Source organism: Homo sapiens, chromosome 10, assembly GCF_000001405.40.
Source record: "Homo sapiens chromosome 10, GRCh38.p14 Primary Assembly".
Classification (NCBI taxonomy): domain Eukaryota; kingdom Metazoa; phylum Chordata; class Mammalia; order Primates; family Hominidae; genus Homo; species Homo sapiens.
The window spans coordinates 16,675,943-16,699,046 of NC_000010.11; the positions used below are offsets into that span (position 1 = coordinate 16,675,943).

The following is a 23,104-nucleotide window of genomic DNA, read 5'->3' on the forward strand; positions in this document are numbered from 1 at the left end:
TAGAGCTAATAAAACAAAGACAAAGAAGGGATCACGCAGAAAGCTTGGTAAAGACTGTCCTGGCCAATCTGATTACAGTCAGTTGGTACATGATGAGCCAAGAAAAGCCAGGAGTCCATCCTCAAGTCCAAAAGAGACAAATACTAGTAAGTATTCTAGAGAAAGGTCATACCCTTTAATATGCATTAACAGACTGAAGCCCGACTACAAAATAACACAGGTTGATCCCTGTATTAGTCCATTTTCATACTGCTATGAAGAAATACCCACGACTGAGTAGTTTATAAATTAAACTTCTTATGAAGAAAAAGAGGCTTAATGGACTCACAGTTCTGCATGGCTGGGGAGGCTTCACAATCATGGCAGCAGATGAAGGATGAGCAAAGGCACATCTTACATGGTGGCAGGCAAGAGACTGTGTGCAGGGGAACTGCCCTTTATAAAACCATCAGATCTCATGAGACTTATTCACTATCACAAGAACAACATGAGAAAAACCCACCCCTATGATTCAATTATCTCCCACTGGGTCCCTCCCACAACATGTGGGGATTATGGAAGCTACAATTCAAGATGAGATTTGGGTGGGGACACAGCCAAACCATATCAATCCTTTATCCAGAATTCTTGGGACCAGAAGTATTTTGGATTTCAGATTTTTTGGATTGACATATTTGTACTCTATTTACCAGTGCATTATCTCTAGTCTGAAAATCCAAAATGTTCCAATGAGCATTTCCTTTGAGTGTCACGTCAGCACTCAAAAAGGTTCAGATATGGTGCCTTTCAGATTTGGGATTTTTGGATTAGGGATACTCAACCTGTATAAATGTGTGTTATATATCCACTGTGGGCTGCAGTTATACAGGTTGAGTATCCCTAATCCCAAAATCAGAGGGTGTATCTAGCAGAAAGATAGATTTGTACTTGTTGTACCAGAACCACTCAGATAAGGGGTTGCTAAATTAGAATCAGGGTGAATTGCAGGAAGCTAGCCCTGAGGGACTAAGGAGCTGGCAGTAGGAATACTGTTAGGGACCCTTGAATGTCGCATGTGCCTGCAACCCTAGTATGAGGATGAGGCCTTGTAGGAAGCTGAATTTGATTCAAGAACCAGAAAAGTCAAATGATCATGTACATTCCCCTAAACTTCATACACTGGCTTCCCTTTGAGGGTATCAACATAAACTTAACATTTTCTTATTTTCTTCCCAGATGTTACTCAAAGCAACATGGAAAATGAGACAACGTTCTTTTAAACTGGCCAGAACTTGATTTCTGGCTTTGTCCTCAGTTGTTTTACTTAAACGATGACTGTCCGTTTTCTCGTCTGAAAGCAGAGGCAAACTGTGAACCTACAGGAGATGAATTCTGTAAAGAATTCACCAGGGCCTGGATGTGCATGGTAGGAACACAGAAGTCAATAAATGTCAATTCTCTCTCCTTAGTGTAATTGAGGCAAACTGTATCACACACTAATCTACATGAAGAAAATAAAAATGGGGGTAGGAAGTTGGGAGTAGCTGACTTTATAATGCAGGTCCTGAATTTTTCTAGTAAAAGCCACTCAATACTCTTAGTACTGAAACCAGAGTAAACCCAAGTCGTCTTGTATCATGCATGTGTACAGTGGCCTGCAAGGAGCTGTTTCCCCATTTGCAGTTCTCTTCTAACCATGTTCCAAAAATTTATAGAGAATATTTTTACTTTATGGCCAGTATTTTTTCTTGTTGCCCTGTCTCAACTAAACTTAGAAAAATGAAGCAGAGACTGTCTTCAGAAAACTTAAAATAATATAGCTCCAAGATTATAAGTATTTCAAAACAAAAACTTTTATTGACAACATTTACATTTCTTAGGAATTATCCAGAATTTAGCACCAAAATACATTTGTTAGTTGCAAGACACATTCTATTAAAAGATCACACCACTCACGCAGTTTCTATTGGGAATGCACAAGAACAGATTAAACATGCTCATAATCCCACATAAACAGTCTGAAACACACACGTCATCTTAGTTGACAGCTTAAAAAAATTAAGGAGAAAAGAAACAAAAAAAAAATCCTTGTCTCACTGTAGGAATCCGAAGCGCATTTCCATCCTTTAAGACACAATCAATTCTTTCAAGATCCATTCTTCCTTATTTCAAACCCTCATGCCCTTTCAAAAATAGAAAAGCTTTTCTCTCACTTAAAGTCTTAGGTGGGAAAATACCCCTAACAAAACAAAACAAACCCAACGTAGAAATCCATTTTCTTGCTTTTTCTTTATTCTTCTCTTTTGTTGGTCTTCATGAATGACCATCTTTTCTCATTTGATTCTCAAGGAAAAACAGACTGCCACAGATTCTTCCAAGAACATAGGAAAGCCTAATGTTATCTGACAGGTGTTATAAACAGTGGAAGATTTCACAATGCTTCAGCCAAGAATTGGGATGGTCCATGCATTAAGCGAGAAACCTTCTCTCAAGCTGTCTTTCAAATTGTCTCTTTCCAAGATTCGGGACTCATTTTACGAGGTGATATCACCTTGAAAATTTTTAGTGTACCTGATCAAAGGGAGACTAAAAAGGAGGACTTCCACACAATCTTCAAATGAATGAAAATAGGAGATAGTGTAGACAAAACCAGTTACAAAGCCACATTCTTTGTGGTTTCTTCCTTTATACATTCATGGGGAAGTAAAAACTTCCTACTGGGGAGTATTTTCTTTTTTTAAGAAATAATCTTTTCAATAGTGAATACATGTGAAAATAGGACATTCAATAGGTACCACAGGATAAAGAGTGAAGAGGATGTGCCCACTCCTCCCTGTCTCTTGCCATCCAGTTTCTTTCCCTAGAGATAACCACCATTACTACATTACTAGTTTATTGCCTATCCTTCAGGAATATTCCATCCACTTACAAGCACAATCACGCATTCCACATGCCCCATGGACTACTCCATCATGGAAAAAGAGAAGGCAGACAAGTGAATCACAGATCCCTCAGATTTGAATTAAAAAAAAAAAAGTCTTGCTTTCAAACATAATTAGTTTATTGGTTAAGGAAATGTTTCATTTGCACCATAAGAGTAATGTGGTAAAAAGATCTATAAAAATAACGAAGCACCATAGGGAAGTCATAATCTAAGCTGAGTATTAGATAGTGAGAACACATTTTAATGTTTCCAGTACTTTTTATTACCTACCACCAAAAACAATGAACTGTATAACTTGGAACACTCCAGACCCCAGAATGGTCTTACTTTTCAGAAATTAGGGTGACCTGTCAGAAGTTATATAAGACACTGGGGATGTCATGTGCAAAGCCCAGTCAAGAAGGAATCTTGCTTTCAAAAAGACTTCAGTCTCTTACAGGAGAAAAAAACACATACTTAACTACTAAAATACAGGTAGTATTCACACCAATAAATATTGAGTGAGAAACTTACATACAGTACATACAAGGCATACAATGTCTGACACCTGGGAAAGAAGTGATAGCCACTGTTATTATTAAAATTACTACTAATGAAAGTAGAGGCCCTAAAGAAAGATGATAAAAGGAGCTTAGAGTTGATGGGCAGTAGGGAAACCTTCCAAGAAAAGATCTCTGAGGAAGCGATATTTAACCTGACACTTGAAGAATAACTGGGCATTTAATAGGTAAAGATGTGAAGAAAGAGCATTCCAGACAGACAAGGCAGCACACGTGGACGTGAGGTGGAAAGCAGGTTGTATCTCTGCTGGGATGTAACCCGGCCTTGTCTTTCTGGGTCCATTCCCAGCAGCTCTGTCTGAAGGCTCTCTATTGCCAGCTCAGCTCCCACGTGGCCCACCATCACCATCCTTCTGCCCTAGAGGATACTGTGATGCAGGAACACTCAGGGCAAAGATACGGTGATGGAAAAACTCCCCTCATCTGGCACAATAAAGACTCAAGTTTTTTTTTTTTTTTTTTTTTTTTTTTTATGAGACAGAGTCTCACTCTGTTGCCCAGGCTGGAGTGCAGTGGCACAATCTTGGCTCACCGCAATCTCTCCCTCCCAGGTTCAAGCGATTCTCCAGCCTCAGCCTCCGGAGTACCTGGGATTACAGACGTGCACCACCATGCCTGGCTAATTTTTGTATTTTCAGTAGAGATGGGGTTTCACCATGTTGGCCAGTCTGGTTTCAAACTCCTAACCTCAAGTGATCTGCCTGCCCTCGCCTCCCAAAGTGCTGGGATTACAGGTGTGAGACATCGCACAAAGCCAAAAACCGGATTTTTAAGAAATCTGGTCTCTTATTACACCTTTAACGGGGTATCAAAAACAGTGCCGAGAATACAGCAGACACAGGCCTGTGTCTCAGGACAGAATGTACACGTGAAGCCTGGACATAAGAAAGGCAATCTGAATACCATTTTCCCATGACATTCCAAAGAGCTCAAGTTTAAAAAAATAGTAAGAAGAAGAAAAATAAAAAACAAGGACTGTGTTAGTTCATTCTTGCGTTGCTATAAATACCTGAGGCTAGGCAATTTATACAGAAAAGAAGTTTAATTTGCTCATGGTTCTTCAGGCTGTACAAGAAGCATAGTGCTGGCATCTGCTTGCTTCTAGGGAGGCCTCAGGAAGTTTACAAACATGGCAGAAGATGAAGGGGGTGCAGGCATGTCACGTGGCAAAAGCAGGAGCAAGAGGAAAGGGAAGGGGAGGGAGGGAGGTGGCACACACTTTTAAACAACCAGATCTTGTGTGAACTCAGAGCAAGAGCTCACTCATCACCAAGAGGACGGCAAAAGCCATTCATGAGGGATCTCCCTTCTGATCCAAACACCTCCCACCAGGCCTCACCTCCAATGCTGGGGATTGCATTTCAACATGAGATTTGGGTGCGGACAGATATCCAAACTATGTCAGGAAAAAATGAAACAACAAAACAAAACAAAGAGCTCAAGTTTAGCACCTTGTTCCCAAGGGAAAGGGCTGAGCTCAGTAACTCTTAATTTTGGATGACAACTCTAATAAAATCCAGAAGAAAATGGAGATACTGCATTAAAATAAATGCTATAGGCTTAACATTGGGAAATGATGCTTCCTATTGTGTGTCTATTTAGCAGTCTTAGCCTTATAGTTACACCAAACACAACATTCTGCTGGAGAAAAACAAAGAGAAAAGGTTGACCTAAGACAGCAACTATCACCCTGCTGACTATTTGCATGAAATTATGAGTAAGTTCTTAGATATTGGTTGTAAATATAACGCACAACTGACAAAAAGCACCATCTTAAATGATCCTTTACATGCCACTTTCTCTAACCTATTAAGATGCTCGTTGTTTCTCTGATTTATCTGATAATAAATTTTTGATGACTGTTAAGTCTCATAAAATTGCTCTGGTGCTGACTACACTGATTAATAAGTCTGAAGAATCGAAACTGTCAGGAATTCGTGTGTAAGAATAAGTTACTGCCAAACATCCATTAGATATTCCATAAAATATGGAATAAAAAGGTTGATCTGGTAATTTTATCTTGGATCCATTTTCCCGTAACAATTTGTATTCAGGGTCATCATTGTCTTCTATTGCCTTAAAAAAATCGATAAAGCAAATCCAGATGGGAGGCAAATTTAAGAATTAAATTGAATTAAAAAAATAATGAATTGATGTCAATAAAATATGTTTCCTAGAAAAATAAAGAACTGAGGATTAGAAATCATTGCTGGGACGACCCTCAGAGATGATCTAGTTTGAAACTTGAGCTGTGCAGATGGGGAAGCTGAGGTGGGTGGGATGAGGTCATTTGCCATGAGAAAACTGACACTAGAAGCCACCTCTAAGATGAGTAATCTAAGAACAAGTCCTATGTATATGCCATATATATGTGCTGTATGTTTTTTAAAAATGTTATTTTGATTTTAAAAAGTTCAAATTTATAATAAAAATCAATCCATCTCTACCTGGAGCCTTTTTCCTCTAACAAGTCCTATATTCCTTATTTCCCCTTCTTTTTTCCTTAGTGTTTCACGGAAGAGTCACTGTGTCTTTACAGCATGGTGCATCCTATGAAAATAAGCACTCCATCTTTGATACCTCTCTTGGCATGCTGAGAAAGCAAGCCAGCTTTAACTACATGAGAAGAGAATTCTGTGCCTCTTGATGCTACCCACCAATCCATAGATCTCCTGGGACAAGGTAGGAAAAATGAGACAAAAATCATGAAGGCTGTAGATGTGGTGACCAGAGTCCCAAGATGGGACAGGGAATCTCTGACTCCACACTCTATAGGGCAAAACCCTCAGAGGCGTTCGAACCAGAGTGACTCCATCTTGAGTGAGGGCTAGGAAAATGAGGCTGGGACCTGCTGGGCTGCACTCCCAGGCAGCTAGGCATTCCTAGCCTCTAAATGCTTATAGTTACGGGAACAGACTGATAATGTTGACTAAACAGACCCAGACTTGGGAGTGTCCTGATATCCCGATATCTGGAAAACAAAGGCATTCCTAATTTTGCTTTAAAGATAATATTGATTCTTGCAAAATATAGTAATTAAGAAAATTAATCCTTTATCAGAAACCCTTGTAGCAGAACACATCTCTCCATGGTCTTTTAAAATCATTCATACACACACACACACACACACACACACACACACACACATGCATGCATGTTACCTAGGGTGGACATGCGTTCCTCCTCTTACTTTCGGGAACACCTACTCTGTCTCTGGAGTAGCTGTTCTTTCACCACTTTACTTTCTTAATAAACTTACTTTTACTTTGCCCTGCAGACTCACCCTGGATCTTTCTTGTGCAAAATCCAAGAACCCTCTCTTGGGGTCTGGATCGGGACCCCTTTCCTGTAACAAAACTCCAAGAGCCATTACACAGGACCACACAGGTCCCAGGATCCACACCTACTGGAGGGGGTCCCATCACATGACACAGACCCTCCACACCGCACATGCCCTCCTTATGAGTGAAGGACACAATAGGGGTTGGTGCTCTGTGGAACCCTCCCTTCATGAATTCTCTACCAAATAGGACAAAGAGGTGGTTTGTTAGGTACCTTTCATTCCTAACGCATCTTCGAATTCAAAGCAGCTTTTGTTTTAACAGGGTCCATTCTTAAAAGATTAACAATAACAGACCCCTCTGCCATTCCTTACAATGAAACAGTGGTAAATGTGCATTTCTGGAGAATAACATGATGTTGAAACCCAAGCCTTAAGAGAGGAATGGGTGTGTGGTGTGTGTGTGTGTGTGTGTGTGTTGTGGTAGGGGTGTGGATCAAGACTTGGAGAGCCATTTAAACACACTGGCTCATAAACAGAACGTGTCTCCCTGTGAAGGTGTAGAGGCTACAGATGAAGAGAGGAAAATGAAGGAACAAATTCATAAACAACTCAATGCCGTTTCTGGGCATTTGAGTAACAATAAATATTTCATTCTATTGTGTTTGTATATTATTTCATATGTGTTTATAAGGTTCATGGTATTAAAAAATAGCCCAGGAAATACTGTTTTCCACTATAATGGTTAATTTGTAAATCATCTCATTGGGAAGACAGACAATTCTATCACCTTTGACACGCACATACTTTTGATTGATGTTGTTTATATGGAGACTGAGTAAATTATCATTGAAGTTTTAGTTATTTTATATGGCAAATTTACCAAATACTTTTTTGTTGAAGTCCTAACCTCCTAACAAAAAGAGGAGAAACTCTGTAAAATATTTGGAGAGATTTATTCTGAGCTAAATATGAGTGACCACGGTCGTGACACAGCCCCCAGGAGGTCCTGAGAACATATGTCCAAGGTGGTTGGGGCGCAGCTTGGTTTCATGCATTTTAGGGAGGCATGAGACATCAATCAAATACATTTGAGAAATATACTGGTTTGGTCCAAAGGCGGTTCAACAATTCAACTTCAATTCAATTGTTCAACTTCGAACAATTCGAAGCTGGGTCTTCTAGGCTTTAGGTAAATTTAAACATTTTCTGGTTGACAATTGGTTGAGTTTGTCTAAGACCTGGGATTAATAGAAAGGAAATGCTCAGGTTAAGATAAAAGATTGTGGAGACCAAGATTCTTGAAGTGTCATACTGGCTGTCCTTAGAGACAACAGATGACAAATGTTCCCTATTCAGACCTATACAAGGTGCTAGACACTCAGTTCATCTCCTCAGGATTGGGAGGGTGGTGAAAGAAAAAGATCTAGCTATGCTAGCAGAGATTCTTTACAGATGCGCATTTTCACCCACAAAGGATGGCTGTGCAGGGCCATTTCAAAATATAGCAAAGAAACATGTTTTGGGGTAAACGATTTTTATTTTCTTCTTTGTCACATAATGTTATGCCAGAGTCAGATTGGAAAGTAAGTCAGGATATGTAGGGTTAAATAAAACCCATCTGATAAGAATTTATGGTTAGTAGGGCATGACTCCCCAACTCTCTAGATACGAATTTTGGCAAGATAAAAAAACCAGAGCTTAGTCCTCAATGGTCATATTTGGAGACAGCGTTTTTAAAGAGATAATCAAGTTAAAATGCAGTCATTAGGGTGGGCCCTCACCCCGGATAACTGATATCCTTGTGAAATGGGGAGCTTTGGACACAGAGACAGAGATACCTAGAGAGATGATGATGTGAAGCAGCACAGGGGTAAAAGAGCCAAGGAGAGAGGCCTTAGACAAACCCTTCCCTAACTGCCCTCAGAAAAAACCAATCCTGCTGACACCTTGATCTGGGACTTCCGGCCTCTAGAACATGAGACAATGAATTTCTGCTTTTAAACCATGCCGTTTGTGGTACTTGGTTATGGCAGCCAAAGCAAACGAATACAAATAGTAAAGACAAAATCAGCTGTCACCAGGAAAAGAAAAAGAAACACCCAAAAGCCACTGTACTTATTCATTAACCTGTCACAAAAAAACCCCAAAACTTCAATAATTTAATTTCCAAATAGACACTACCTAATTGGATAGAGAATATAAAGTATGTGCATTTTGACAATGACAGTATTGTATATGTTCCAAATGAGATTATTTAGGCCGGGTATGGTGGCTCATGCTTGTAATCCCAGGACTTTGGGAGGCTGAGGTGAGCGGATCACCTGAGGTCACGGGTTTGGGACCAGTCTGGCCAACATGGCAAAACCCCATCTCTACTAAAAACACAAAAAAATTAGCTGGGCATGGTAGTGTGTGCCTGTAACCCCAGGTACTCGGGAGACCGAGGCAAGAGAATCGCTTGAACCTGGGAGGCAAAGGTTGCAGTGAGCCGAGATCGCACCACCGCACTCCAGCCTGGGCAACAGAGCGGGACTCCGTCTCAAAACCAAACAACACCAAATAAGATTATTTAAAAATGAACTGTTACAGGAAAGGGGTCGCGATCCAGACCCTAAGAGAGAATTCTTGGATCTCACACAAGAAAGAATTCAGGGCGAGTCCACAGAGTAAAGTTAAAGGAAGTTTATTAGGAAAGTAAAGGAATAAAACAATGGCTACTCCACAGACAGAACAGCCCCAAGGGCTGCTGTTTGCCCATTTTTATGGTTATTTCTTGATGATATGCTAAACAAGCGGTGGATTATTCATTCCTCTCCTTTCTAGACCATATAGGGTAACTTCCTGACATTGCCATGGCATTTCTAAGCTGTCATGGCGCTGATGGGAGGGTAGCAGTGAGGACGACCAGAGGTTACTCTCATCGCCATCTTGGTTTTGTTGGATTTGGCCAGCTTCTTTACTGCAACCTGTTTTATCAGCAAGGTCTTTATGACCCGTATTTTGTGCTGACTTCCTATCTCACCCTGTGACTTAGAATGCTTTAACCATCTGGGAATGCAGCCCAGCAGGTCTCAGCCTCATTTTACTCAGTTACCATTGAAGATGGAGTCGCTCTGGTTCATGCGTCCCAGAGAGAACTATTAAAGTGGAAAATAATATTTTATTCTTGACTACATTTTAAAAAATATCAAGAGTCTTATAAACAAATAATATGCAAACACAGTAGAACAAAATATGGAAAGTTATTTCCTTAATGCTTGATGAATACATTGAGGCATGGATAAATGCCTGTGAACATAACTCACATTTAAGTTTTTTATCTGATAAAGTTGATTGAAACTCCTTTCATAGCATTTTGCATTTTAATCTAAAATAACTGACAACACAGAAGAATCCTTAAATGCCCAAAATTAAAAATTTAAAAAACCCCACAAAACCTCCAACAATGCCTGGCCAGGATAAGAAACCAGAGTTCAATAAAAAACCAGCATGTAATAAAACAAGTTATTACTGTGTAGAGATTAGAAACCACAAACAGTTTTGTTTGATTATAAAAGCGCCACTTTTAAATTTATCTCTCAAATAAAAACAGCAAATGCAGGCAATAATTCATCTCAGCTGAATAGAAAGCATCAAGCATTGAACTTTTAAGACTCCTGGGAGTTAATAATCAATATGTAGAGGTGACCAATTTCACTTCAGTGAGGTCAATATCCAATAGTTCAATATGATTATATCAAATGAATAGCATCCAAAAAAAAGGAGCTCAGAATAGCTCCTCTTGAAGAGAATGTAACCTGACACATTATGGGTTTTTTGGAGTATGGATGGAGTCTAGCTGATATTTATTTTCCTTCTGTCAAGTGAGACAAATTATCTATATTCTATTTACCTTAAATTGATACTGTAATGTATCATGCTCCACTTTAGGAGCTGTATAAGGCATGCCAAATGCAGGCTTGATAGTCAACAATCAAGTGAGGGGGATGGAGAAGGGAACAGGGGAAAGAGGGGACTGGAATAGGAGGAGAGAGACACACACAGAGAGAGACTGAGATAGTTTTACTCTTTAAAGTCCTACGGAAAAGCCTTTTGTAGTGCAAGGTTCAGGATAAATCTCTCTTCTCCCTTTGATGTTGCAGCTGTAGTTTTTTTCCCCTATGCCCCTCTAATAGTTATCCACAACTCTTCAAAGATAAGTACACTAGTCATTGAATAAAATGCAAATTGCATTGAGTAAAAAAGGCAAGGAGCATAGGGTTTTTTCTCACTGGTCAAACCTGAGCCTACCAGGTCCCAGTCAGAGCTCCCAGGCAAGCACAGAGTGCTGGAGGATTAACCACATTAGAGGACCAGAGGGAAGTAGTGAAGAAAGCAACGTGGATATGGGAGGGTACATTTTCCAAGTCTTTATTTGCATCTATTGCATATCACAGTGAAAAACACTCCAGAGTAGGACACGTATACAATGGAGTCTTACTAGATGTCTTCAGGAATACAGCTAGTCTCCTGAAGCTGGTTTTTAAGCCCTAGTAGAGTTTCACCTTTGACCTTCATAGGATTAGGGGATGGAAGTTCCCAACTTAACTCACAGAATCCAAGTGTCCTGGAAATATCAAATGGGAACAAGCACCTTCCATTTAAAAAACTGAACCATTTTGCATGAGCTATAAAATTACAGAAAAGTAAAGCCTCAAAAGCCTGTGAAAACATCATATATTGAATAAATTATGAAAATGCAAAAAAGGGAAAAATACTAGTTACCTGTGAAGTATATATGAATAATAGTGTTAACCAAGTTACAAGGCAGAAAAAAAAATCCTTTAAATGCAAAATACACTAAGCAATCTATCACAACATTTGGAAGAGAGTAAGAACTTACGTATTCTTCCTTACATCCTCTGTATTCCTCCTGTCATATTAAAGAGGGAGGTATCAATTTAGCAGGGTAACTGATACCTCATGATCACATACAGGAACAGTTGAGCAATTAAACAAAAAATCAAATTATTATTATTATTATTATTTTGAGATAGGGTCTCACTCTATCACTGAAGCTGGAGTTCAGTGGTGTGATCTTGGCTCATTGCAACCTTGACCTTCTGGGCTCAAGGCATCCTCCCACCTCAGCCACCCAAGTAGCTGAGACTACAGGCATGTGCCACCATGCCCGGCTAATTTTTTTTCATTTTCTGTACAGACGAAGTCTCACTATGTTGCCCAGGCTGGTCTTGAACTCCCTGGGCTCAAGTGATCCTCCTGCCTCGCCTTCCCAAAGTACTGGAATTACAGGCATGAGCCACTGCACCCAGCCTTCAAAAGTTAGTATTACATATTGGCTTACTTTTATTCAGTAGAATAAACATTCTGGAGTTTTTTGTGTTTTAAAATGTGATGCTACCTAATTTTATCATTGAAGTTAACATGAAATAAGAGATGTGACACAATATACCCCAAATATATTATATGGGTTTCCCTTTTCTCTGATACTTTTTAGCAATACTGGTTAAATGCAACATATTTTCTTGCAAATAGGTCCACAGATGCCAAAACTTTGAATCACATATTATGGATAAAATGTGATAATGCATTTTCAACTTTAAAAAAGAAAATATAGGCCAGTAGTGGTGGCTCAGGCCTGTAATCCCAGCACTTTGGGAGGCCGAGGCGGACGGGTCACGAGGTCAGGAGATCAAGACCATCCTGGCCAACAAGGCGAAACCCTGTCTCTACTAAAAAAAATACAAAAAATCAGCCAGATGTGGTAGCGAGCGCCTGCAGTCCCAGCCACTCGGGAGGCTGAGGCAGGAGAATGGCGTGAACCCGGAAGGCGGAGCTTGCAGTGAGCCCAGATCACGCCACTGCAGTCCAGCTTCGGCGACAGAGCGAGACTCCGTCTCAAAAAAAGAAAAAATAATACAAATATGTACCATTTATGAAGAAAATATATATCACCAGGAAGAGAATACATAGTCAACTTGTAAAATGTAAAAACTACCTTTATGTTAAAAGCCAGGTGCCGTGGTGCGTGCCTGTAATCTCAGCGCTTTGAAAGGCTGAGGCAGGAAAATCTCTTGAGGCCAGGGGTTTGAGAGTAGCTTGGGCAACATAGCAAGACCCCCAGTCTCCACAAAAAAATAAAATAGAAAACTAGCCAGGCGTTGTGGTGTGTGCCTGTAGTCCCAGGTACTAGGGAAGCTGAGGCAGGGGGATTGCTTGAGCCCTGGAGATCAAGGCTGCAGTGAGCTATCATGGTGCCCCTGCACTGCAGCCTGGGTGACAAAGTGATACTGTGTCCCTAAGGAAAAAAAAAAAAAGCTTTAAAGAAAAACAGTTCTTCATTTTCATGTCTACTACACAGAAATTGTTTTTCTGTGGCTTAATTTGAGCTATTTTCAGATACAGCAATGAAAAAGAAGAGTCTACATTGTTCTACATACTGATTGTCACTATGTTCAATTTACTAACCACTAGAAAGATCCTGGAAATTTAACCCTCTCCTCCATCTTTGTGAAGATATTTATAAAATCACCTGCTAGCTCTGTGCACCCATTTATACTTCATCAGATGTTTATTAAGTTTTTCTTAGAGATAATTTCCTACAGTGAAGGGCTGTTTTAAAATGAATGGGCTCACCTATTAGGTTTGAAATGCCCTAGCCTTGTGGTGGACTGGTTGTATCAGTGAAGTTATTTAAAGAATTTCTAGGCCACTGACTCAGCAGTCACTAGAGGATATAGTAGTTGTTTAATAAAGCCCATGTACGTCCATTACAGCTTGTAACAGGTTTGCACAGCATGCAGAAGAAAAATAAAACATTAATTAGCTTTAATTCCACAAGTAAAACAATGTGAAAAACAATAACCAACAGCCAAAAGAATGTTTCCTTATAAATCAAACAGGATGATTTATTTGGCTAGATTTCTAATAAAGAGGAATTCTCAGCTTTTATCTCATGGTTTCCCACCATTCACCAAAGACTGCTTTGTTAAAATGTTTTTGTTAACTAATATGAATAATAGTATGGCTGGTCTTTCATTTAAGGTTAAAAAAACGGAACACACAAAACACAAATGAGTGGGGAACTTTTCCGGAGAGAGAAAAGAAAGGTGAAAAAGACAGGCAGAATGACGAGGAAGCATCCTGTGAGTGATGCCATGCTGGAAATGAGGCTTTAGGACTGCCATGCTTGGCAAATTGCAGTTTTCATGATGACGCCTGTTTGCCAAATACCTCTTTCAAGGGAAGCATTTCCAGCCTAACATTTGTCAAACCTCTTTTGTTAACTTGTTGACAAGAGTTAACTTGTCAGCTTTTAAAATGGCTTGCAGTTGGTATCCACGTTCCTTGATGGAAATGTGCAAAGTGTGAGTTACCCCCTTTCACAAAGAATCTTGTCAAGGGTGCTGACTTCAACTTGACTGCCTCTCCTGGGGGAAAAAAATCTACCTTCTGGAAACTTAAGTGATGAGTATTCCATCATAATTCTGCTTCAAAGAAATAAAAGAGGTCGAAGAGACAACCACCATCAAATAAAGAGTTAACAGGTAATTGTATAACTCAGCGACAGTTTAAAAACACAGTGGAGCATGTAGGATGTAAGCTTCAACGACCCAACCAAGCTCATAATTTCATGTTAACCGGCAACTCAGTGACATCAGCCAACAAGTTCCCCTGTGGAAGGCACGAAAGATGAAGAGACAGCAGCTTCCACCTGAGACATGATGAAGGGGCCGTGATTAATGCCCAGAATGTTACTCCAAAGAGCAATCTCTGAAGAACTATACCTCACCATCCTACCAGCCACACCCCTCCTGCTTAATGGAACAAGTTCCCATCTTCATGAAGCTAAGTCATCTCCAAGTATTTTAATTCTGTTGACACACTGAATTCATTGTTTTCTTTCAAGTATCCATGTCTCCTCTTGGAGTCCATTAGAGCCTATAAATCAGATCATCCATCCTCTCTGCCCTAGACTCAGAAGAACTTGAGGACGTGCTCTGAGGAAGGTCACTGTGAACGCCGATCATAGACATGAATGAAAAGAAAACATTCCGGTAAGTTTTTTAGTTCTTTATTCCTCTCATTTAGGTAATGGGTTAACTGGTTAGAAAAAAGCGGTTGGGGTGGGGGAAGGAGGAGGAGGTTCATAGGCGTTTTAAGTGCCAAAACCAAAAGTATGTTTTCATGGTAGTTTAAAGATAGACAAATACACATCCGCAACACACAGACACTGATAAATATATAAGTAAGGATTCTTTTTAATAAAGGGGAAGTATGCGGCTTAAACAACAGAGACAAAGAAGTGAAAATTAGGAACTATAATAAGTTTTAGACTAGAAGATCAAAAACTAAGGCAATGAATGTGAAATTTGCTTTTTTAAAAAAACTATGAGTATCATGAATAAACTGCCTCCCCTGAAGGCTGCCACATGTAAAACGTTTTTAAAAAGTAGCCAAATACCTGCTAATTCGCATAATATTTTTCAGATAGGATACTAAAAATCCCCTAATTATGAAATGGCTGCTTCACACAAAGAGTTGAGTTGGGTTCTAATTGTATGAGGATATACTTAATATAATACAGATCTATTCATATAAAGGAGGCCCTTAATTTTGAAAATCAGTTTGTGTTAATCTGGTGAAACACAATAGCGGCATTTTTGTGCAGTTTTTTTTTTTTTTTTAATGATTAAGAGTTTGACTTATTGTCTTATCAGCTAACAGTCCATATTTTGGGCTAGTATGTTTGACAAAGGGGTGACGACAGCTGCTACAGGAGAATGACAGAAGGACAAAAAAACTGAAATACACAAAGTAACCAACCTTCTTCTCCTTCCCAAGGAGGACAGAAGAGAACTCACAGCAGGCCCCTGCCCTAGCATAGCTCATGTACCTTGTGACCTCCCAGCAGAGCATCATGTAGATGCCCCTAAAAGCAGCTGTTATGGAACCAGCTGGTCCCCGTGGAAAGGAGGCAATGGCTCTCCGGTGCTTACTGAAGCTGCTGCTTCTTTTTTTTTTTTTTTTTTTTTTTTTTGTTTGAAACACAGTTTCACTATGTCACCCAGGCTGGAGTGCAGTGGCGCCATCTATCTCAACTCACTGCAACCTCCACCTCTCAGGTTCAAGCGATTCTCCTGCCTCAGCCTCCCAAGTAGCTGGGATTACAGGCACCCACCACCACACTCGGCTAATTTTTGTATTTTGAGTAGAAATGGGGTTTCACCATGTTGGAAAGGCTGGTCTTGAACTCCTGGCCTCAAGTGATTCACCCTCCTCATGGTGAATCACCCCACAATTCACCCCAAAGTGCTGGGATCATAGGCGTGAGCCACCGCACCCAGCCTACTGAAACTTTTTAATGTTGACTTAACTGCATAAAAGGTAATCCAAGGCTCCATGAGGAAATGAAACAGAAAAAGTTAGCAGACACATTGCTTAGACTACGCCAACCCCCCAAAATAGGATGCTAATAACAGACATAAAAACAGATATACCAATTATGTTATAGATACCTCTCATTTATCCAGAATCCTAACCACATTCAAATCAGTTAAAATAGTCTGTAACAGTGCAGAATGGTGATTAATTGCCTAATAATTACTTTGAGGTAATACAAAATCCAGAAACTCACAATTTAATCTTTTAAAATTAAAAGCACTTTCATATGCAATGTATTCTCATCCTCTATAAATTATAAAGTGATCTATGGAAAACTAAAAATTGTTAACCAGAATAATAAACAGAGAATTTCCTCTAATTCCAGATGGCTAGGAGTTTGTTCATGCATTTTTCTGTATACTATCATATACAGAATGACTTTTTTCAAGATACCATACAAACCAAGCTCTAAATAGCTTCCTGTTTACTAAGAAAAAATTAGAGCCCCATCTAAAACTCACGATAGCAATGATTAACAATTTACAAAGAAGAAGATAAACAATCATCTGCTAATTTGTGACTATATTTTCACACATTTTCATAATTAACTAATTTCTAAGGGTGAGCTACATTCGTATTTTTTTAAAAAAAATTGAATCTGTAATAACTGTACATATCTATATGGCTTATGAAACAATTAATACACATCCTATACCTATCTCATTTTATCCTTAAGGTAAGTCTTTAGACTTATACTGTAAGTGTCATAGTATTGTCTAAAGTAATCTAAACCACGCTTTACATTGCTTTTATATAGGAGGATACGGTATCATTTTGGCAATTTTAGTGTATTTCATTTTAAGGCCATTGTTCTTTTTTCTTTTTTTTGGGATGGAATATTGCTCTGTCGCCCAGGCTGGAGTGCAGTGGCACGATCTCAGCTCACTGCAACCTCTGCCTCCCTGGCTCAAGCGATTCTTGTGCCTCAGCCTCCTGAATAGCTAGGATTACAGGTGCCCCTCCACCATGCCCAGCTAATTTTTGTGTTTTTAGTTTCACCATGTTGGCCAGGCTGATCTCAAACTCCTGACCTCAAGTGATCCACCCGCCTTGCCTTCCCAAAGTGTTGGGGTTGCAGGCGTGAGCCACCATGCTCCGGCTGGCCATTATTCTTTACAGCTTGTCTTCTCTGTTTCTGTCTGGTGGAAACATGGCCACAGCAAGTGCTAAATGTTTGACCAGGAGCATGGCGCTCAGGCTGCAAGACTGCAGAAATGCAGCCAGCCACTTCTGGGCAGAGGCTCTGCCCTGCCAATCAATCCCGACCCACTGGCCTGGCACAGATTCACAGGGTTTTCTTGAGTGTGGGACATATTTCTGATACCAAAAAAAAAAAAAAGAAAAGAAACTCTTAACTAAATGTGACCTTTAGCAATCTTCTAGCTTTCTTCCAATAGTTGGGATGTTAGATTCTCAAAAGTTGGTGCCAGGCTGGGCATGGTGGCTCATGACTGTAATCCCAGCACTTTGGAAGATGAAAGCAGGATTGCTTGACACCAGGAGTTTGAGACCAGCCTGGGCAACAAAGGGAGACCCCGTCTCTGCAAAAAATTAAAAAAATTAGCTGGGCATGGTGGTGTGCTCCTGTAGTCCCAGCTACTTGGAAGGCTGAAATGGAAGGATTGCCTCAGCCCAGGCGCTTGAGGCTGCAGTGAGCCGTGATTGTGCCACTGCACTCCAGCCCAGCAATACAGTGAGACCCTGTCTCTTAAAAAAAATTAATTAATTAATTAAAAAATAAATTTTAAAAGTTGATGTCAGACACAAAAACAGATTACATTTGAGTAGGGATGTTTTTGTCTTTTTTGTATATGCTTAAAATTATACTAGATCTCAGCATTTGGGGTCAGGCAAGTATTTGATAAATGACAGTTTGTTTTGCAGCTGGGGGCTGGGATAAGGTAGGAAAATAATGACGGTACATATAACAACAGAAGCACGTGGAAGTGGCAGAATTCCTTTCAACCTTGACACATGGAGGAAGAAAGAAGCAGGAATCGTGAGGTTTTTGGGACAGTTTTGCATAGACTCCTTTCACCTGGAGTGAGGACTTGAGGTATTTGGATGCTGTGACTTTAAGCTGGCAGATTCCGCTTCCTCTCCTGCCTTCCCCTTTTCTCTAAGAGATTATCATCTCACTACAGTACAAGCTTCTCTATAATAGAATGACGCATTGCTAGTACTCTCTACTGATTTTATAAATAAACTGCTTAACAATTTTGTTCAGAACACTTGTAATTCTTTGCATTCACAGAAGAAAAAAAATATGTTCTGATCTGAATGGTGAATTTCCTTAGTGCCATGAATATTCAACTAATTTAATACCTCAAAAATTCTCTAAAGAAAATCAGTAAAAATCCCCTTGAAAATATCAATAAAAAACAATTTACAAATAGAGACAATGACCACATGCTGTTTTTTCTTGTTTTTTTCTTTTGAGAAAGGGTCGTGCTCTCTCATCCAGGCTCGAGTGCAGGGCATGACCACGACTCTGTGCAGCCTCAATGTCCTGGGCTCAAGTGATCCTCCCAACTCAGCCTCCAGAATAGCTACAATGACAAGCATGCACTACCATGCCTGGATAATTTCTTTTTCTTTTTCTTTTGTAGAGACGGGGTCTTGCTATGTTGCCCAGGCTGGTCTCAAACTCCTGGGCTCAAGCAATCCTCTAGTCTCGACTTCCCCAAATGCTAGGATTACAGCTGTGAGCCACACCACACCTGGCCGACATGCAGTTTTTAATAAAACATCTTAAAATGCTAAGTGCTAACTGCCATCAATAGGATACTGTCACATAATATTTTTAAAGGCGTAATTATAAATACTATAAAATCACAGTCTACTATTTCAGAAAATCAGAGTCTACTTACTATTTGTATGTCTCAGAACGGATATACTCAAAAACATGGGACACGCCAAGCTGGAACTGGTCTGCAATGGGGGTCACCCAGGGATTGTTCTCTGCTTTGAATACCTGCTTCTGGCCAGTTAAATCCAAGTTTCCTGGGGGGGGGGAAAAAAAAAGTGAAGGTCACTTCATCCAATACAGATCAGGTCTAAGAAGTCCTTCTCAGTAATCACAGCCTAAGTACCCTAAATCAAACCCTAAGTGCCTCTTGGATCATTTGATGTCTTTTAAATTTCTTAACCCAAGTCATCACAGGTACACAGTCATGACAGTACCTTGGCCCCAGAAATTAAGAACAAAGGAAGGAAGAAAGAAGACAGATGGAAAAGGAAAGCAGAGCAGAGGGAAGGAGGTATTTGCTGCAGAGACAAAAATGACTTGTTCAAAATTAAGAGAAGTGATAATATGAAAACCATTTAAAATTCTATCTTGACCATGTCAGTATGCATCATGCCTTGTCCTGGCTGATCTGGGCCCAATCTGATCAACACCACTTTTTTCACCAATCAAGACAGCGTATGAATGGAGAAAGACAGGAATATTACCCAAGCCAAACCGTTGTTACTCAAGTATAAGAGCATAAGCACATCTCGGAATCAGCCCTAAATGAATCTCATTAACATGGCAGTGATAAAGACTAATTACCTTTTAAAATCATTCCTCATTTCATTCTCCAGCAATCTGGAAGGTCAGATACTAATATTACTTTATAGGTGAAGAAATGGAAACTTAAGGAAATTAACTAATATGCCCAAGATCAGAAAAAGCCAGCATGAAGATTTCAAGCTGATGCTCAATCTCATACACCTTCTACAGTGTCTGGTGAGGCCATCAGGTTACATATCAATTTAGATAAGGTTGATTTAATGAAGGTAGCATAAAAAAGCCAGCAAGCACCCCTCATCTGGATATCCTCTGTTAATGACCAGTTGACTGTTTTTTTTTCTTTTTGATATATTCAAAAATGGAAAAGGCAAAGTGTGAAAGAACTTCCTAAAATGCGCTCGCCTATGAAAGCAAGAAGCAGAGAAAGAGAAGTTAGGCAGCAGGGATATATGTGAAGGTCTGTCCCTAAAAGTCCTACTGAGGAAATCAATTTTCACACTTCTCATCCATGGCCTGGTACTGTTTGAACCTAGAGACACAGCAAAGATTTTTGCTAAGACACAACCGAAGTTACGTGCTGTTGCTGTTCCCAGGTTCTACTGCCTATGTTTTCATAGATGGTAACTCAGGACAATGAAAACATATCCTGGGACGCAAGTACAAAGCAAATCATTGCCTAGCTGATCTGAGCTTTGGAAATGAAAGGATAAATGAATTTTTTTATGAGGAAGATAATGCAATATTGCTTGTTAAAACAAAATAATAGATACTTTGAATCTTTCCTTTTTGTTCTATGAACTTGCAACTATTCAGAAAAACAAAAGAAAAACGACTACAATTTCACAAAATCTTTTTAAGAAAATACACACTACTAAATATCAAGAGAGAGTAATTCATCATGTTTCCAAAGCTACTAAGAATTTGTTGGCGCTTGGTACAAAAATAAGCAGATCCATTTCTCTCCAAGATTATCAATATTGTCAATTTCCTCATCTTAATGGTTAAACATCGTTAGTCAGATATTAAGTCACTTGGGAAATTAGTGAGCTTGATTCTCTAAACCATGAGTCAGAAAGCTGCCTAGGGCGAATGAAAACCCAGGGGTGGTATGCATTCTGCTTAGCTGAGTATCTCACCTGGGTTTCATCTTGTTGGCAAGGGGCTGCCATTGATCTTTGTTTTTATCTTTACTTAGGGAGGGGGTTTTTAGAGTCCCAAGAATGAAACTGACCCCTTGTTTACATTTCTCTATAATTCTTATTTCCTCTTAAAATCTAGTTTGCTGCACTCAATTTATCTTGTCTTCCATATAATTCCTTCATGGTTTTTTTCTCTAATTTTTCCTTTTCCTAAAAATGAATATAATATACATTCCTGGAAAGAAGCCATCCCTTTAAAAACAAGTCTATTTCTGATGTGTCGTATTTTATGTGCACGATGGTATGTTGCCCATTGTGCACAGGAGGCAGGACTAGTAAGGGAAGGGGTTACAAACTGGACAACAGTGACCACGGTGCAGCAATGCCCTCATCAGCTGGGAATGGTAGTGCTGCAGCTCAATATATCTCTCTTAAAACATTCACCTGAGAAACAACCTATGCTTACATCTTGTCATCTTCATGCCTCTAATCTCTGCCCACAGACATCAGCATGAATCAACTATGAAAAAAATAAACTTGAGGTGTTTGGAAAAAATATGTGTATTCTTGGCCAGGAGTGGTGGCTGATGCCTATAATGCCAGCACTTTGGGAGGCCAAGGCGGGTGGATCACTTGAGGTCAGGAGTTCCAGACCACAAGGCAATTTGGCCAACATGGCAAAACCCAGTCTCTGCTAAAAATACAAAAATTAGCCAGGCACAGTGGTGCGCACCTGTAGTCCCAGCCTCTTGGGAGGCTGAGGCAGGAGAACTGCATGAACCTGGGAGGCGGAGGTTGCAGTGAGCCGAAATGGCACCACTGCACTCCAGCCTGGGTAACAGAGCAAGACTGTCTTAAAAAAAAAAAAAGAAAAAGAAAAAATATGTGTATTGCAAAGTAGATGAAAAAAAAGCAGCAGAAGCCATGAAAAGTATAAACTACATATTTATGGAATAGCACAGAAATGAATTCCTAAGCTAAGGGGATTTTCTAGTTAGTGAGTATTTTCCCCTAAATATCTTTCCTTCTTCTGCAAAATTGGTTATCCTAATGAGAAATATAGTCGGAACTTCTAGTTGGTAGAATTTTACTCTGTTGAAGAAGCGTCCAGGATTTTCAATCATTTACACAACTGCTTTGCTTTTAACATCTGGTTCAGAGGGGTGATTGCAGGAACACACCTTTTTTTTTTTTTTTTTTTTTTTTTTTTTTTTACTTTGGGAAGAGGGAGAAGAGGAGGGAAGTCAGCTACATTTGGGCACAGAGCAGCATTTCTCACCACACTGTATTTTCAGGGCCCTTGGCAAGCATGAGAACAACGTGGAGCAGGGAAAGGATCCGGGAAGGATGACACACACAAGTCTCAGCTATTTCAAATTTTCCCTGGGAAGACTTGCTTGGGATAATGAGGGGAAGAGACTCCTCTTTTCTAGCCTGCATCACAAGCTCCCTTCCGCCGAGTCCCAAGCCTTGCTCGATCATCCGAAACTGAAGGTATGTTATGAGTAAAGCTGGTTTTAAAGACCCCTCCTTGAACTTAAGGAATAGGGACGTATTTCTGCGGGAAAGAAGCACTCGTGTTCTACTACTGACGGCCTGCAAAACCACTCTGGAACGCACACAGCCTCTTGTTAACTTATTAACAGCATCTTACTAAGTGTGCAGTCTTTTCAGTGGTAATCCTCTGAAAATAATGTACTAAAGTTCTATGCTCCCTGACTGCCACTCATGGAAGGAGAATAATGCCAAGAAAGGTCAGCCATGTTCTCTGGGCCCTTTTGTCTGAAGCCTGTAACCCCCTGGAGATCTGTCAATCCCAAGTGATGTCTCTATTTAGGTGCTGTCAGTGGAGACGGCAGAGGCATCACAGATTGCTAATGATGGCTGCTAACTGGAGCACACAGGAGACGCTGGATGCAAGCTAGACATACTCCCTTAAGGGAAAAGGAGTCACACGCTGATGTCTACAAGTCAGAGTTAACAGAAAGGACCACAGGCTATTCACGATCATCTTCACTTATATCACTTCCAACCCATCTGCATATTTTAGCTGGGATGGGGAGTGGCAAGGAGGGTACAGATGACTGGGTTACCCTCCCCACCCTCATTTACTTACTTCAGTATCAAGCAATGCTACTAAATTAAATCCCCAAGTGCTTCCTAAAGCTACATGAACTTAAGAGCCTAATAGAAAAGAATGATTAGGGTTCCCTGGGGAAAAAAAAGAAAAGAAAAAAGCTT

The 23,104-nt window shown here is 40.0% G+C and overlaps 1 protein-coding gene and 1 long non-coding RNA gene across 4 annotated transcripts in view; both read right to left on the bottom strand.

The window, feature by feature from the left end:
* The window catches only part of RSU1 (Ras suppressor protein 1), a 226,814-nt gene that overhangs the window by 85,332 nt on the left and 118,378 nt on the right, over positions 1–23,104 (bottom strand). For 2 of the 3 annotated variants that reach the window (NM_152724.3, NM_012425.4), the window contains one exon: positions 19,081–19,213. The exons of the other annotated variant lie outside the window; for it this stretch is intronic. In NM_152724.3, coding sequence (NP_689937.2) covers positions 19,081–19,213 — 133 coding nt within the window. The remainder of the gene's footprint in view (positions 1–19,080; positions 19,214–23,104) is intronic. 3 annotated transcript variants of the gene reach the window in all.
* On the bottom strand, positions 1,815–11,827 carry LOC124902385 (uncharacterized). Its single transcript, XR_007062073.1, has 2 exons — positions 11,649–11,827; positions 1,815–11,372 (listed from the first exon to the last, which is right to left on the bottom strand). It is a non-coding gene; the product is annotated as an uncharacterized LOC124902385 (long non-coding RNA).